The sequence below is a fragment of the Homo sapiens genome, chromosome 20, assembly GCF_000001405.40.
Source record: "Homo sapiens chromosome 20, GRCh38.p14 Primary Assembly".
Classification (NCBI taxonomy): domain Eukaryota; kingdom Metazoa; phylum Chordata; class Mammalia; order Primates; family Hominidae; genus Homo; species Homo sapiens.
Genome location: NC_000020.11, coordinates 20285622 through 20303282, shown reverse-complemented (window position 1 = coordinate 20303282; position 17661 = coordinate 20285622). Strand labels below are relative to the sequence as shown.

Genomic DNA, 17661 nt, shown 5'->3' with positions numbered 1-17661 from the left:
ACTCACCGAGTCTGTTTCAGAATCACCTTCTATTTAGGGAGAAACAAACCAGGTAGGGCCCTGAATATGGTCAAATGTGAAAACATTTTTTTTCCGGAAAGTCTTAGCATATCATTCCCCACCAACCAAAATCTTTCTGTAACAAACAGCTAATTCTCCCTTAACTCAAATATTTTGGGTAAGGTTGACCAAGAAAATCCTATATATAAGTGAAGGAGCAAATGAATTCATTTTTTAAATACTTGCAGTTTTCATTATTTAAAATAAGTATTGGAGCCAAGCCTACAAAGATTTGAGGAGGGAAAGCTCATGATTTTAAATTTTGACACTTACCAAAACGTAGTTTATATTTGAAAGCATTAGGAAGACATCCTTACACATAAAAGGTTTCAGGGACTAAGTACTCTTTCCGAAAAATAAAAATAAAAATCCATTCATGGTAAGAATGCTTAGAAAACCAGTAATCAAAAGGAACTTTCTTAATCTGATAAAGGACATCTATAAAAATATACATATGGCAACTATTACACACTTAATTTTGAACACTTTCCCTTTCAAATTAAGAATGGGGCAAGGGCACTACCCCTCACTACCCCTACTTAACTTTTTATTTTTATTTTTGAGACACAGTCTCACTCTGTCGCCCAGGCTGGAGTGCAGTGGAGCCATCTCAGCTCACTGCAACCTCCGCCTCTCAGGTTCAAGTGATTCTCGTGCCTCAGCCTTTCAAAGAGCCAGGATTACAAGTGTGAGCCACCACACCCAGTTAATTTTCGTATTTTTAGTAGAGATGCGTTTTCCCCATGTTGGCCAGGCTGGTCCTGAACTCCCAATTTTAGGTGATCTGCCCGCCTCGGCCTCCCAAAGTGCTGGGATTACATGGGTGAGCCACCTCACCCAGCCAATCTTTTTATTACAAATCTTAGCCAGTGCAGTAAGGCAAGAAAAGGAAATAAACAGTATAAAAGTTGGAAAAGAAGAAACAAAGCTGTCACTATTTGCAGATGATATAATTTTTCTACTCGGAAAATCTAAAAATCTACAGGTAAATTATTCAAAACTTTCAGAATACAGAACCATACTAAAATTAGTTCATCTGTATACACAAGCATCAATTCATAAAAAATGACATTTAAAACAGAAAAAATAATATAAAGCATCTTGGATCATATCAAACAAAAGTTGTGCAAGCCATTCATGGATAAAATGATAAACCTTTATTGAAAGACATTAAAGAATACCTAAATTGAGAGCTATACTATGTTATGATATTGGACTCAATATCAAATATGTCAATTCTTGCCTAATTGATCTAAGATTTAATGCATTTCCTATCAAATCCAATGGGGTTTTCATGGATCTTGACAAGTTGATTATAAAACTATTAGAAGAATGAAAGGACAAAAATACCCAAGACCCTCTTGAAGAAGACAAACATTCTATTAAATTAAGAATATTGTTGACATCATAAAGAAAGTAAAAAGATAAGCCTCAAAGTTGGTTAAAAATATATAACCAACACAAGTTTGTGTCCAGTTTGTTTATAAATAACTTCTGTGAATTAGTAATGAGAAGACAGCCCTGCTCCGTGGACAAATATCATGAATTGGCATTTCACAGAAACTGCCACAAATGGCCCATGAACAAATGAAAAGGCATCATTAAGTGGGGAAAAGCACATTAAAGCCCTAGGAGGATACCTTTGTATGCCACTAGACTGGCCAAATTTAAAAGTCTAACAGTACCAAGGCTTGGCAGGTCTGTGGAGCAAGAGGAGCTCTCTCATTCACTGCTGGGGGAAATTTAAATAAATAACGACAGTCATGTGTCACTTAACGATGGGAATAGGTCCTGAGAAACACGTTGTTGGCAACCATCCTAGAGTGCACTTACACAAACCTAGATAGTCTAGTCTACTACTACACACCTGGCCTATATGCCCCTGTTGCTCCTAGGTTACAAACTTGTACAGGTTTCTATACTGAATACTGTAGGCAATTGTAACTCCATACTAAGTGTTGGTGTATCTAAACATAGAAAAGGTACAGTAAAAATATGGCATAAAAGATTTAAAAAGGGTATACCTGTATAGGGTACTTACCGTGAATGGAGCTTACAGGACTGGAAGTTGCTCTAGGGCAGTTAGTGAGCTAGTGGTGAGTGGGTGCGAAGGCCTCGGACATTATCATACAATACCGAAGATATTATAAACAGTATACTTAGTCTACACTAAATTTATAAAAACATGTTTCTCAATCTTTATTATTCTTTAATAATAAGTTAACCTGTGCTTACTCTTTTTACTTTATAATCTTATTTTGTTTCAACTTTTTGACTCTTTTGTAATAATAACATTTAGCTTAAAACACAAGCACAAGGCCAGGCACGGTGGCTCATGCCTGTAATCCCAGCATTTTGGGAGGCGGAGGCGGGTGGATCACCTGAGGTTGGTAATTCGAGACCAGCCTGGCCAACATGGTGAAACCCCGTCTCTACTAAAAATGCAAAAATAAGCTGGGTGTGGTAGCACGTGCCTGTAATCCCACCTACTTGGGAGGCTAAGGTAGGAGAATTGCTTGAACCCAGGGAGGCAGAGGCTTCAGTGAGCCGAGCTCATGCCACTATACTCCAGCCTGGGCAACAGAGTGAGACTCCATCTCAAAAAAAAAAAAAAACAAAAAAAACAAAAGAACCCCATAAGCACATTGTATAGCTATACACAAATATTCATCTATGTCCTTATTTACAAATTATTTTATTTTACTTTTTACTGTTTAAACTTTCTGTTACAAACCGAGGCACAAACACACACATTAGCCTAGGCCTGCAGGGTCAGGATCATCAATATCACTGTCTTCCACCTCTGCATCTTGTCCCACTGGAAGGGCTTCAGAGGCAATAACACACGTGGAGCTGCCATCTCCTGTGATAATAATGCCTTCTGAATACCCCCAAAGGACCTATCTGAGACTGTTTTAGAGTTAACTTTTTTTTCATAAGTAGAAGGCATACACTCGAAAATAATGATAAAATGTATAGTATAGTAAATACATAAGACAGTAACATGGTCATTTATTATCATCAGCAAGTGTTCTGCACTGGACATAACTGTGTGCTATGCTTTTATACCAACTGGGCAGCACAGTAGGTTTGTTGACCCAGCATCACCACAAACACGTGAGTCATGTGTTGTGCTAGGTGACAGGAATGTGGCCCTTGGAGATGGAAATTTTTCAGCTTCATTAATATCTTATGGGACTCCGATTATATGTGTGACCCATTGTTGACTGGAACGTGTTTATGTGGCACGTGACCATACTTGGGAAACATTTGGGCATCAACTAGTAAAGTTGAAGACGTGCATGTTCCGTGACCCAGCGGTTCTAGGGCTAGGATATCTTAGAGAGATTCTGCACATGAAGTACGTCCACAGTGTTCACAACGTCCGATTGTAATGGCCCTGAACTGGAACCAGTGTAAATACAGTCAACAGGAAAAGCCATGACTGAATCATGACCATTATATGATGGAATACCACACAGCAGGGAGAACAAACGAACCACAGCTACAGACATCATCCTGGATGGTTCTCACAAACACCGTGCTAAACAGAATGCTCGCTTTCTTTGGTAAGCCATAAACCTGAGTCAGAAGTAGGCAAGGCAAATTAATATATTATTTAGGAAATCACATGTGTCTAAGTACACATCTTTAAAACAAGGACTGACAAACTATGACTGGGGGCAAATCCAGCCCAATGCCCATTTTGGTGAATGAGGCTTTCTTGGGATATAGCTGTGTCTTTTTGTTTACACATCATCTACGGCTTCTTTCTCACTGCAAGGGCTGGGATGAGTACTTGCAACTGAGGCTATATCTGCCCCTTATAGAAGAAGTTCACTGATCCTTGCTTTATAGGCAACAGAATGACAAACTCAAACTTCAGGACAGTGGCTACCTCCACGAAGATGAGGGAGGGCTGTGATCAGAGAGGGACTTCCTGACTGCTAAGTTAAGGAATTATTTCTTAACATAGGCAGTGGGCCCATAGATTTCCAGTACTTTTAAGTGTCCATACATATTTCACATACTTTTTTGTTTGTATGATGCATTCTACAATTTAAAAAATTTTTAAGAGGCAAGAGAGATTGATGGCAATCCTGGCAGTTGCTTCTGTGGGTGTCGAGAACACTGGAACTGCATGGTTTTCATTCCACATCTGTCTCTGGTGCTGGGTCTGCATCACCTTGCTTTGTGAATAGGGAAAGTCTCCTAACTTTGCTAAGCAGCAAGCTACATTCAGAAGTAACTTTCCACTTGGAAATTCTATGCCTTCCTAATGGATAGGATGAAGTGTGTCTTAAGAGTTTGAAAAGACAAAGGTTTCAAGTCTAACCGACCTGTCAGTGTGGGAATTCCCTTACCAAAACGCTGGACAAATGACCACCCTGGGCCTGCCTGAACACATGCCATGAGGAGGAAGGCTGGGGTCACAAACACCCCGTCCCATGATCGCGGAGTCCCATCAGGATCAGACCCTTCCTCATGCTGTTCCCAAATTGACCTCCTACATTTCTGACCACTGCTCTTAGCAGCCCCGTGTGGAAAGGGACTTGAATATCATCTCCTCCAAGCCCGTCCATGGTAGGCTTGGTTGCACCTGGGGTCCAGGCCCTGGTGTGGCCATGGGGGCCAGGTGTGGACACATCCTGTGACTCTCTGCTCCCCAGCCCACATTAGCGTCAGGTGTTCTTCATTAGAACGAAATCTCTGCCACACAGCCTCTCTCTGGGATTCCCGTTTTGCTCTCGGGTGCATCACAACACATGTCCCTCATTCACAGACATTATATATATATTTGTATTTCCCTGTAGTCAAATGCAATGTCCAACTCACCTATAGAGATCTGTGATCAGGTTTTCATCGTACCGAGCACACAGGTTGTTGAGGAGTTGCTCGTGCTGGCCAAACAAGCGGATGTAGTTGGAGGCGGGGAAGGGCTCCCTAGAAAGGCACGTGATGGTTTCCACCATTTTATACTTGTTAATATGAATTCGGAAGTAAGTCCCATTTTTCGCACTGCCGGTTACTAGTTCTAAACCCTGGAGGAGGGATGTGGACAAGAAAAACAACATTAGAAACATTCCTGGATTTTGGGAACTTTATCATAGCAATTTATTTTTCAAATATAACAGACAGGTTATATCTTATCCCTCTTTGCAAATAACAGTAATAGATATTGACTAAACTCGGCAGAAGGTGACAGTGTGTCAGAAACCACATACTTGGACTCAGGGACTACAAGGATATTTAAAACTGTGATTGCCTTGTTCTGTGTTTCTAAACTAGTTGCTAGGTTACAACCAACCCTTTATTAATACTGCACACCCAGCTAATAAGTGGAACTGGGTTTATTCTCTCCTCTGAGGTGTTTTAACACTGTTAAATTTCTTTGCTTTCACAGCATCGTTTTGAGAAAAACCTCCTAGTCAAAACTGATCAGAAATAATTTCAGTTATTTTCAAGATTACTTGAACAAAAGAAAGAAGTAAAAGGCCAGGCCTGATGGCGGGGATTGGGCAAGGTCAGTCATTTGAAAAGGTCTGTTCCCAGGAAGAAGGTTCAAGGCTATGGGAGATGCACATACACATTCTGCAGGTGGTTTTCTGGTTTACAAATTGTTAAAAGTGTGGATTTGTGACTTTCTGCCCTGTAGAAACCACCTCCAATTGCCACATCAGCCCAAGTGACAAGGGTAGATGCTGCTCCAATTCCATGCCACAGTGACTTCTTCTATTTCAGCCGTGGATGGCTCCCCACTGGCTCAGGCAGTGGGAAGCTTCTGTAGACAAACATGAGTTTTGTGGGGGGTGACTGAACCTTCACTTTGGCCTTAGACTCTGACCTTAGTACACAGCAACGCTCAATAAATGTTCTTTGAGTGCATATAGATTTAAGCTTCTCTTCTGAGCTTGAATGTGGCATTTAGAAATCCAAGGCAATTTGAACTGCCTGGATCCCAAACATTTACTTAGTCCTGGACATCACCTGGGGATTTTGTCTAAACAAAAGGACACACGGTTTAACTTTTACATCAATACAGGCAACTGGTGGGTGTTGGGGTATCACATGGCAAAGCCCTCTGGGGGGACTCAGCCAACTGTAAAGTTACAAGGTGAGATATACAGGAGGCATGACAGGTGAGTCCTGGGCCACCCCCAGGTGCGTGTGTGAGAGATTGGGCATTTGGGGGTGAGGGAGGAGCAAGTGGGGTTGGGGGATGGTGCTTCAAGGGAGAGGAAATGGTCCTTTGTTTATAGAAATGGATGGATAGACGGGAAATCTACCACCATAACAAAGTGCTTAAAAAATCCAAACTTATTAAGATGTTATCCAAAAAACAATGGCCCACCGACAATGGGGGACAATGTATTCAAAAAAATTAGTGTTAAAATATATTTCATAACAGGGAGATATATTCACAGTACATTTTATGCTTTAGAAGTAGTTTACAAAAATGCACAGTATCATTTCATTTGTTTTGTATCAACATTTTCACAAAATGTTAACGGTCACTTTCTGTGGTTGGGAGACTGGGTCATTTTTATTGTTTATCCTTACAGTTATTTGACTATCTGCAGCTTCTAATTTTTAAAAAATGATCATTACTTCTAAAATGAGGAAAAGTTATTTTTAAATACTCAGGCTGTGGCATGGCAAGGAACTAGATTTTTTGATGAACAAATTGAGTGAGGGGAGGAAGGAAGGAAGGAAGGGAGTAAAGAAGGAAGGAGGGAGGGAGGAAAAAGAAAGGAAGGAAGGAAGGCAGGAAGGAGGGAAGGAAGGAGGGAGGGAGGAAGAAAGAAAAGAAAGAAAGAAGGAAGGCAGGAAGGAGGGAGGGAGGGAAGGAGGGATGAAGAAAGGAAAGAAGGAAGGAAGCAAGGAAGGAAGGAAGGGAAGGAAGGAGGGAAGGAAGGAAGGAAGGGAAGGAGGGAAGGGATGAGGGAAGGGGGAGGGGTGAAGAAAGGAAGGAAGAGGGAGGGAAGGAAGAAAGGAAGGAAGGGATGAAGGGAGGAGAGAAGGGAAGGAGGTGAAGGAAGGAAAGGAGGGAAGGAAGGAATGAAGGAGGGAAGGAGGGAGGGAGGGAGGAAGGAAGGAAGGAAGGGAAGGAGGGAGGGAAGGAAGGAAGGAAAGAAGGAAGAAAAGGAGGGAAGGAAGGGAAGGAAGGGAAGGAAGGGAGGGAGGAAGAAAAGAAAGAAGGAAGGAAAGGAGGGAAGGAAGGAAGGAAGGAGGGAAGCATGCAGGCGTTGGTGTGCAAGGGCGGGCTCCTCTGGAGAAGAGTTTGGAAAAAGCCAGGACTGAGCCTCTGGCTGCAGGGGCCTGGTCTCCTCTGCTCATCCCTTGCCCTCAGCTCCTGCCACAGGCATCTCTCTAGGCCTGGATGCCACATGGGCTTTGCTCATTCCCGTGTGTTTCCTCAAGTCCTGACTTCGTGGTCTGAGCAATGACTCACACCATTGCATGGGGTGGGGGTGGGGGCGCATGACCTCACAGAATAACCCCTGGTGTCAACTTTACCTGATGGCCCAGGATATTCAGCAGTATTTCAGAATTAAAATATATGTAGATATATACACAGTGAAGAATGTGACCGCCATGTGTATTTCTAAATTAAACACAAGACTTGAAAGACCATTTGAGTTTGGAAACAGCAGCTTTAGGTTTGGCTTCTGAACCCAGGGGTACATGTCCCCGTCACAGTAAGGGATGATTGGTGAAAAAGCTGGAAAACTGCAGGCGAGTTCTGAGGAGGGGTGGCTCCTGCACCACGGCAGTAAGGCTGCTGTCTGGGAGAGGACGCACCACAGACTCTGGCACAGTTTTATCTGCCAGGCTTCCCCAGGCCTCCTCCTCCTTTTAGGTTTCATTGTTGGAAGTGATTAAGAAAGGGAGCCCAGGTGTCAAGGGGGCACACCTTGAGATCCACCCATGTGGTTAACAAATCTTGACTTTGCCAAGAGTCTCACTAAATCCCCCACCTTCAGCTTACAAGGACTTCTTTGTGTTTAGGAGGGCTGACTTGGATTCCATGTACGTGGCCGAGGCTGTGCACCTCAAGACGAGGGTCACAGTCACTTAGTTGGTGGTGACTTGTCAAGTCCTTGAGGAGCCCTGCAGGCTGCAGGCTGAGAGCAGTGAGAGTCTGAGCGTTTTGTGGCCTTAAATGTCATCCTGTTCCTTGAGAGTCTGTCATCAGCATCACTTTTAGTGATTTTTTTTGTTATGGACTTGTTGCATTTTTTGGTATTATTATTATTATTATTATTATTATTATTATTATTATTTTTGAGACGGAGTCTCGCTCTGTCGCCCAGGCCGGACTGCGGACTGCAGTGGCGCAATCTCGGCTCACTGCAAGCTCCGCTTCCCGGGTTCACGCCATTCTCCTGCCTCAGCCTCCCGAGTAGCTGGGACTACAGGCGCCAGCCACCGCGCCCGGCTAATTTTTTGTATTTTTAGTAGAGACGGGGTTTCACCTTGTTAGCCAGGATGGTCTCGATCTCCTGACCTCATGATCCACCCGCCTCGGCCTCCCAAAGTGCTGGGATTACAGGCGTGAGCCACCGCGCCCGACCTTTTGGTATTATTTTTAAACGTAAAGACTGCATTATCATATTTTGGCCTCCTCTGTAAGTTTTGTCCGCATAATCCTGGCATACAGGGCCTTACAGAAATGAGGGCTTAGAGTCCAGAAGCAGCTACACTAGAGAAAGCGATGAGGAGGTTGCACTGATGGCTGATCTTAACTTTGGAAGGAGCAGTGTCCATTTGAAGGAGATTTGGCACCACATTAGCATCACTGGAGGGGTCCATCTGGGAACTGAGAGTGCATCAAAATATGTTGTATTCATGTTAAATACAATTCACTCAAACAGGGGTTTCTCAGACACAAATTACCCTTGTAGTGCAGGCCACTCCTATTCACAGTCGCTGACAGAACAGGATAACCCAGTGAAGCCCAGAACTCTTGCTGCAATTGCTCATAGAAAGCTGCTCCACTAAGTGATGCCGTAGGGCACCTCCCAGCCCTGCCCACATGGTGCAGGGTTCTGGGGTCAGGACGATTATTTTGCAACCTTCCGGTTTGGTAGGGTATATCTGGTGTCTTCCCCTATTTTAAGTATACGAGCAAATTGTTTAAAAATTTGGATATTAAATTTAAGATTTTGATGGAGTCACTGATTCTGATGTGGTTTTTCTTCTTCTTTTTTTCCCTGAATATAATTATCCTTTTGAGGTCCTTTATGATTTTGACAAAGGTTGGAAAATGGTTCTGGAATTCATGCCAAATGGAAGACACAGGATTCATCAGACTTGGTGTTCAAGAAATCAAGTTCCCAGCTCTCATGATGAACACACAATTTTAAATTTGATGGTATCCAAGGCAGAATTTGTTGTGACAAATTTCTTTCTTCCATGGTATATACGCCAACAAAGCATGTGGACTGGAATCTGTAAATTAGTTTATTATGTAGACGACTTGGGGTCCCCTTTCTTCCTTTTGTCAGGTTACCTCTCAAAGAGCTCATGAATTACTACAGTATCTTCCGACTTAAATATTCCAATTAGTGAGCACTATAAAAGTCTGATAAGATTTGTCTGTGCTATATCTAGTGTATGAATAGTAATTCAATTTCTCTGGCGAAATATTGTTCAATGGGCTCCATTCTTGATCAATTGGCTATATTTAGGTGACTGCCTGACCATTTTGGCAACGATTTCACTTAATCAAATTAATTCCAACCCCAAAAGATTGCCATGGAGCCATCCTACATTTTTCTTTCTTGGATAATAAAATGGAAAAAAAATCTGTTTAGATCTTCTGTACTAATTAAAAAGGAGGCCCACCTGGCAAAATGGTTAATTAAAGTCAGGGGTCCTGTTCACATACTGTCATAGCACCAGCCAAAGAATCTATTTAAGTTGCACTCTTATTAAAACTCTCATTATCTAAAAACCCCTTTTGGCTCCTCCTCTGACTTTATTTAGAGAGAGTCGGTGGCTCATAAATAAACGATGCCGCATGTAGGAAATCATGCACTGTCCTTGAAGAATCTGGTTCTGGCTGAAACCAAGTCCAATATGTTCTAGCTCTTGTGCATATTAGACTCGAGTTATTTATCTGTGATGATCAAAGTGCTTAGCCTGTGAATACTCTGGGCTTTATCCTATTTACCTCATGCCCCACCTCACTGGTGGCAGATTTACTTTCTAAAGATGGCCACGACAGTGTCCCTATCCCACACACCGTCCCGCAATATGACCCTGACACTCTCTGCCTTGAGAGATGGATTCTCTATTCCCCACCCCTTGAATCTCGGTGGTTGCTGTGACTGCTCCAACAGAGAGAGTGGGAGAAGTGATGCTGTGGGACTTTTGAGGGTGGGTCATAAAAGGCAACGCAGCTTCCAGCTTGCTAGTAACAACACTTGCACTTGGAGCCCAGAGCCACTGCGTGAGCAGTCTGGCTACTCTGAGGCCACCATACTGTGAGGAAGCCCAGGCACTTGAGGACAGCCCAGGTGGGGAGGCTGTGGTGAACACTTCCGGTCCTTGAGTCATCCCAGCCCAGCTGAGTAACAAGCTTTCGGATTTAGTAAACAAGCCTTCAGATGATCTGGACCATTGATCTAACCCTCTAGTCTTCCCATCTAAGGCTGTGAATAGTGTGGAGCAGAGACAATCTGTGCCCACTGTGCCCTGTCCAAATTCCTGACTCACAGGATCTGTAAGCAGGATCAAATGGCTGTTTTATGCCACTAGGTGTTTTTTATACAGCAATAGAAACTGGAACACTATGATGATCTTATGGTTTCCTTTATTATAAGAAAATGTTGCATCAGATCATGTGTACAGGGCAACTAAAAGAATCTGGGAAAGGGCTAAGGGAAATAAGTTTTAAACATACAGCATCTACCCTTTTCCTGGAAGAACTGGGTTTCATTATTTATCTGGAATAATGATTAAAACAGCCATCTTCACCACTTACTGGCTACCTGTTTTGTTCCTGACAATGTTACTTTATGTATGCTCCCCAGCAATCCCAGAAATGCAGATGCTGAAGAACTTGTTCAAGGTCCATGGGAAGGAAATGGAATAGGATTGAGATTTCCTGAAGGGTGAAGAACCCATAGCCTGTGCCATTTGAGTAGGCCCCCATTTAAGGATTTTTCCAAGAGCTTCTGCTTACATCTCATTGGCCAGAACCTGCCACATGGCTGACCCTGTCCTTGAGGAAATCTGGGAAATGTGTTTATTTTAGGTTGGTCATATTGTTTACCCTCAAAAATATTCAAGAGAAGAAAATGGGAATGGAAGTTAAGTAGACAGCTTCCAATCTGCCTCATTGATTAAAAATCAAACGTGACATATCCAAAAGGAAGCCCCCAGATGACAACACACACCGGGCTGGGACTATGGGTCAGAGAATCTTATTAGAGGAGCTCTTCAACTGACCAACCACCTGTGTCCTTTAAACAGCAGAATTCCCAACTGCACAGCTTCTGCTTTTCCTGGAGGGGAGGAAAACAGTGGGGTCTCCATGGCCATTCCAGATGCTAAGCAATCTACTTGCTCCATTGACATGAAAGTGGATATTTCAGTTATCTATCGATGCATCACAGGTTGCCTCAAAATGTAGAGGCTTAATGTCCTTCAGTAGGTGAATGGATAAATAAACCGATACAACCAGACAATAGAGGATCATTCAGTGCCAAAAAGAAATGAGCTATCAAGCCATGAAGAGATATAGAGGAAGCTTAAATGGATATTACTAAGTGAAAGAAGCCAACCTGAAAAGACGATAGGCTGTATGACTGCAACTATATCACATTCTGGAAAAGGCAAAGTGACTGAGACAGTATGAAGATCAGTAGTTGCTAGGCCTTAGGACAGAGGGAGGGACAAACAGGCAGTGCACAGAGGGTTCTTAGGGCAGTGAAGCTGCTCTGTATAATCCTGTAATGGTGGATATGTGTCATTATACATTTGTCCAAACCCACAGAATGTACACAACCAAGAATGAACGCTAATGTCAACTATGGGCTTTAGTTGATAATAATGTGTCAGTGTAGGTTTATTAATTGTAAGAAATATATCACTGGTGGGGGATGTTGATAGTGGGGGAGGCTATATGTCTTTTGAAGGGTTGGGGTTACATGGGAAATCTTTGTACCTCTGCTCAATTTTGTTATGAAACCAAAACAGCTCTAAAAAATAAAGTCTATTGAAAAAAGTAATGGCATAAAACAATAATAAATTTTTATTATCTCACGGTCTCTGGGAGTCAGAAGCTGAAAATGGCTTAGCTAGGGAGTTCTGGCTCAAGGCCTTTCATAAGTTTTCAGTCAAGATGTTGGCTGGGGCTGCAGTCACCTGAAGGCATGAAGGAGGCTGCAGGATCCACTTCAAGGTGGCACACTCGTCTGCCTGGCAAACTGATCATGACTGGTGCAGGAGTCCTCAATTCCTTGCCACATGGACCTCTCTAAAGGCGTCCCTACAGCATGGCAGCAAGTCATCTAGAAGTGTGCAAGCTGGAAGCTGTCGTATCTTTCTTGACCTGACCTGACCTTGGAAGTCACACAGTCATTTCCCCAATATCCTGTTGGCTACACAGGTCAGCCCTACTCAGTGTGGGAGGAGCCACACAAGGGCATGAAGACCAAGGTGCGAGAGTCACTAAGGGCCATCTTGGGGGACGATTACTCCAGTGGGCTTCTGATGTGTGAACCAACACATTACAGTAAAGACTCCAAGTAAAGAATTTCATCCTCTTATAAACAAAGTTTTGTATTTGAAAGTAAAATGAAATTCAGAAATAATACTTACATAATTAGGCTGTGCCATTTGTACCTCCAAGGGAGTTGGAATGGCAGGCTTGGCAATATGCAGATAATGGTAAGACCCAGGAAGAATGCCCCCTAGAAGAGATGGCAAGTTTTCCATTTAAAATTAATTGTTAATGAGGTGAGTAACAGAGCTCATATTTTCATCACAGGACAAACAGATGCCTGCAGTGGCGTATGCTCCTCAAACTTTCACACTAAAGTACCACTAACAACAAGGAACTCCCTGGGGTGGTTGACGTTTATTTAACCAAATTGATGTGAATGTGATATGATATCCCATAATGTAGCCGCCATTGCTCCAGGATGTGCCAAGCCGATCTTGTGTATCCTGTGATTATCCGGAGCTCCCCGCCCTTTAACCTGTATCTGCCAAAACCAGATCAAGACCTTTAGAAGCCTTAAATGTTGCAAACAGCATTCCTATTCCTCATCACTTCTCCAAAATGTAGCCAAAATATTAAAAAATTGAATTTAATTAGGACTATCAACAAAGTTCTTTGTTCAATGTTTTAGAAACTGTCATTATCGAATTCTTAATATTTTGGTTTGTTCCTGAGGTCTGGGCCTGTGCCAGCTCTGGCTTCTGACAGCCCTCCCTTCTCTTGCCTGCCTACGGCCACCACCTTTCCTCAGGTCTCACCCAGAGTGAGAAGCAGAGCAAGACCTTGTGGGGCTGCCTAGTTAGGAAGAGGAAGACAAGGATGGAATGTGGGGCTTTCGTCTCTGTAATCTGACATTCCATTGACTGGACTGGGCTTCATGGACACCCTGGGGGTCTATGTACAGCTTTGTGGGTTCATCTATAAACCTCCAGGAAGGGAACACGTAATTTTGTAAATATGTGCATTTTTCTGGTAAAAGGTCCACAACATTCAGAAACACCATTTTCAAAGGTATTTCTCATACCCTAAACGTGAAGGAACCCTGCATTACTCATGAAATCATCTCCTCCTTAGGGGTCAGAAGGGTTTATGGGATAAAAGTGCACTGCTTTACAGCTGCAAATGGTTAAGCTTATCCATCCCCAGAGCAGGCTGAGGCCTGGCTGCCTGGAAGGGTCTCCTTATCTCTGAACTTACAGAGAGAATGGAAGTTTTGGGTAAGATGTCAGGGCAAACCATCATTTTCCAGCTGTGAGACATCCAGACAAGTTAATAATCATTCCCTTGTCTGTTTTCTTATCTGTAAAGTGGGAACCCCATTTAGGATGTGGTCCATAGTAAATGCTCAAATGCAAAGAACCGTAATAACAATAATTCCAGGTTTGTAATAAATGCTTCAGAAATTATAGACCCTTTCTCTGTCTCTGTGGCAACCCATTGAGGTACGGAGGAGCCTTTTCCCCAAGCCTAAGAGAAACCTGGAGGACTGGCCTGACTGCTGAGCCATACCTAATCTGTGGCTTCATCAAGGAGAAGGAAGCCTACTCGTATACCTTGAATCTTGGCTCCCTTGTACATGGGGATGAGCCGGTCAAGATTAGCTGGTGGCTCGGTCACAGGCTCAAGGGTTGGATCAAAGAGATGTAGCATAGCTGCTGCCAGCTGAAAGCCAATTTCTTTGGAACTGAAGTTGCTGTGAGTCCACTCATTTGAGTAGTATCTATTGGAGAATTTGGTGAGGGAGCCAGCAGCTCTGATGGCTATGTCGTTGGTGTGGAAGTTGGTATCAATCACAAGTCGACTGTCATACACAAGACATGCATCATTGAGGGCTTTAAACGTTTCATAATCCACATTCTTCTCACAGAAGCTGAAGAACATCTACGAAGTGAACAATTACAGCAATATTCAGTTATCACTCTTCATTTTACCTTCCCAAAAGTGTGACTAGTCTCCAGGGCATTTTATTATTCGGGGCACAAAAATACACATACTAAAAGTTTGCTATCATGTTGTTTGTGTGCGTATGAGAGATAGATTGCCTTGGGCATGAAGAACCCATTAAGATCCCCAAATGTCACTCTTATTCACTCAATTCACTCATCCAGTGGAGAGAAGGATGCCAGGTGATGAAATATCTCCCACAAAAGTGTGAGTGGTTTTCGGCGGAAGAGGGTTTACATTTGTACAGACCCTGCCTTCCCCTCATGCTCCTACATTTTGAACAGCTCTAGCGCAGCCTCCATCCTCTTCCCCTTCCTGTGTCTGACACTCGGGTCTCTGCAGGTTCCTTCTTGGGTTGATCTCATCCAGTCTTCAGTTTTCAGACTGCCCATTGCTAGCTTTTAAAACTCAGTAAGCTTGTCCCTATATGATGCTCCAGAGAAGATGGATGCTTCATCAGTCTCTGTATCTACTAGGTCTGGGTTCCTGCCTTGTTGCTTCCTGCTCTCATACGACACAGAGTCATTCAAGAAATACTGATGGCATACCTACCATATGCCAGGCACTGTGTGAGGGTGCCATAAGCAGAGGGGCCACCAACCCCTTTGCATGCTCCTTAGAAATTATTTGTATGCCCTCTCCATTCTGTGCTCAAATTTCAATGCTTTCTCATGCTCATCTGGACATCGTCTTCCACACTGATGTTGAAAGTCACTGAAGCAGTGCAAGTTAGTTGTTTTTGTCTTTAGTTGTTGGACCAATTGAAACACGCTCAATTGATTTTATCTTTCCCTAAAATAGTCTGCCACTTTATTAAAAGCATGCTAAAAAATGAACATAAGACATGGGTCCCAACCATACTGATGGTCATCTCCCCACTTCCATCACATTCCTGCTTTACCCCCCTCAACTGTTTCATTCTGTATAGACATCAGCTGTCCTTGGGCAAGAGGTAGCCAGCCCCTTCAGTATTCCTGCCCCACACCCATGAATGGTTCAGGGAGCTTTCTGATTCTGTGGTAGCCACTAGTCATACAAGGCTATAAATATTTACATCTAAATTAATTTAAATTAAATACAATGAAAAATTCGGTTCCTCAGTTGCAATAGCCCATTTTAAGTGCTCAGTTAGCTATAGGTGGCTACTGGCTGCCATATTGGGCAGTGCAGATACAGCCTATTTCCATCTTGAAGAAGGTTCTATTGGACAGCAGCACTCAGATCCATCATCTCTATGATGTCCTTGGTCCTCCCTCAGGGAGATACACTCTGTGCCCTTGTCCTGTCTTTATTCACCTAGTTGTCTAATCCCATCCCAGGATGCTTCTTTCTTTCAAGTCTTTTTCTTTTTTTTTCTGTCTTATAACTCTTACCCAGTGGCCACAGGAAAATATATTTCTCTGAGTCTCTCTCTGATTCTGAATCTTTCTGTCTCCCTACACTCCTTTTTTGCTTTCTCATTCTCTTTCCCCATCTCTATAAAAAATAGATTTCCTACCCAGATAAATATATAGAAAGATATCTGATTTGAATTTAAATTATAAATAAAAACAGTGCTATCAACCTCTTGAGCCCTTGAAAATGTTTAGAAGTCTCCTTCAGCATCCTCACAGAAGTTCTTCTACCTACCCAATTTTCTTTCTCTAATTAAGCCTACTTTTTGTTAAGTAGTACATTAAATATACTAGTTCTTGTTTTTCTGGGTTTTAAAGGTTACCAGTATTGCAGTAATGTTTACTTATACACTTTTGGTGTAGGCATTCACAATTTTGGCTACATTTGGGGTTTCATAGGAGTTTGTAGACTGGAGTGAAAACTGAATAAGCAAATCCAACATTGTTAATAAGAACATGTGTTACAAGTTACAGACCTTGCAAATACAACCTATGTGCTTCTGTAACGCCAGTGGAATACTACATATTGGGTACAAATAGGAAGAGGTAATGGCTGGCCACACTGATGTTCTGAGTACATATTTCAAGACTACTTATATTGATAATTCTGATTAAGGAGAGCAAAACTCCTTGGTTAGCTAGGGAGAAGGGTGGGAGTCAGTAGTCTGATAAACTTCATTCATTCATGCATTCAGACAAACACTTCTTGTCCCAGGCACTGTGCAAGGTCTCCAGAACATCTTGGTGAAAAACATAAGCATGGAGCGCATGATCTAATTGGAAAGATGAATGCCAACAAGATGGGAAAGTCTGCCTTGAGAGCCAGTGTCACTGCATCCTAACCTGGCTGGAGGCTGGACCACCTGCTAAGAGCCCAGGAGGCGCCACTATCAGGCAGGATGTGGAGAGGCTTTGATGTGGGGACAAAACATCAATTTCAAGAGAGTTCTGCTTCTGCCTTGGTGGTATAACCTCCTGAGATGAATCCCACTGATAATAACTATAAACTCTGATATAAGAGGATTCTTATTAGTATTTAAAAGTTTGGGTAGCTTGTGTATTACAGTAAAAACTTGGAGAAATGACCAGGATGGGGATAATTTCCCTTATTTTAGAGGTGTTTTTTTTTTTTTTAAGTTTGCTTTTTCAATTACCTTTTCTCTCCATTTCCACATACAGGTATTCAATTTAGAGTCTTTTTGTTTGTTTGTTTTTGTTTTTTTTTTTTTTTGAGACAGGGTCTCACTTTGTCACCCAGGCTGGAGGGCAGTGGCAAGATCTCAGCTTACTGCAGCCTTGACCTCCCGGGTTCAAGGAATCCTTCTGCCTCAGCCCCCCCATGTAGCTGGAACTACAGGTGCTTGCCACCATACCCGGCTAATTTTTTGGTATTTTTTTGTAGAGATGGCCTTCACCATGTTGCCCAGGCTGGTCTTGAATTCCTGAGCTCAAGCCATCCACCTACCTTGGCCTCCCAAAGTGCTAGGTTTATAGGCGTGAGCCACTGTGTCTGGCCTCAATTTAGAGGTT

The 17661-nt window shown here is 42.8% G+C and overlaps 1 protein-coding gene across 1 annotated transcript in view; it reads right to left on the bottom strand.

The window, feature by feature from the left end:
• CFAP61 (cilia and flagella associated protein 61) overlaps window positions 1–17661 on the bottom strand; it is a 308167-nt gene that overhangs the window by 57416 nt on the left and 233090 nt on the right. Inside the window, exons 23-25 of the mRNA NM_015585.4 lie at window positions 14347–14674; window positions 12892–12983; window positions 4897–5102 (exon numbers count right to left, since the gene is read on the bottom strand). Coding sequence (NP_056400.3) covers window positions 4897–5102; window positions 12892–12983; window positions 14347–14674 — 626 coding nt within the window. The remainder of the gene's footprint in view (window positions 1–4896; window positions 5103–12891; window positions 12984–14346; window positions 14675–17661) is intronic.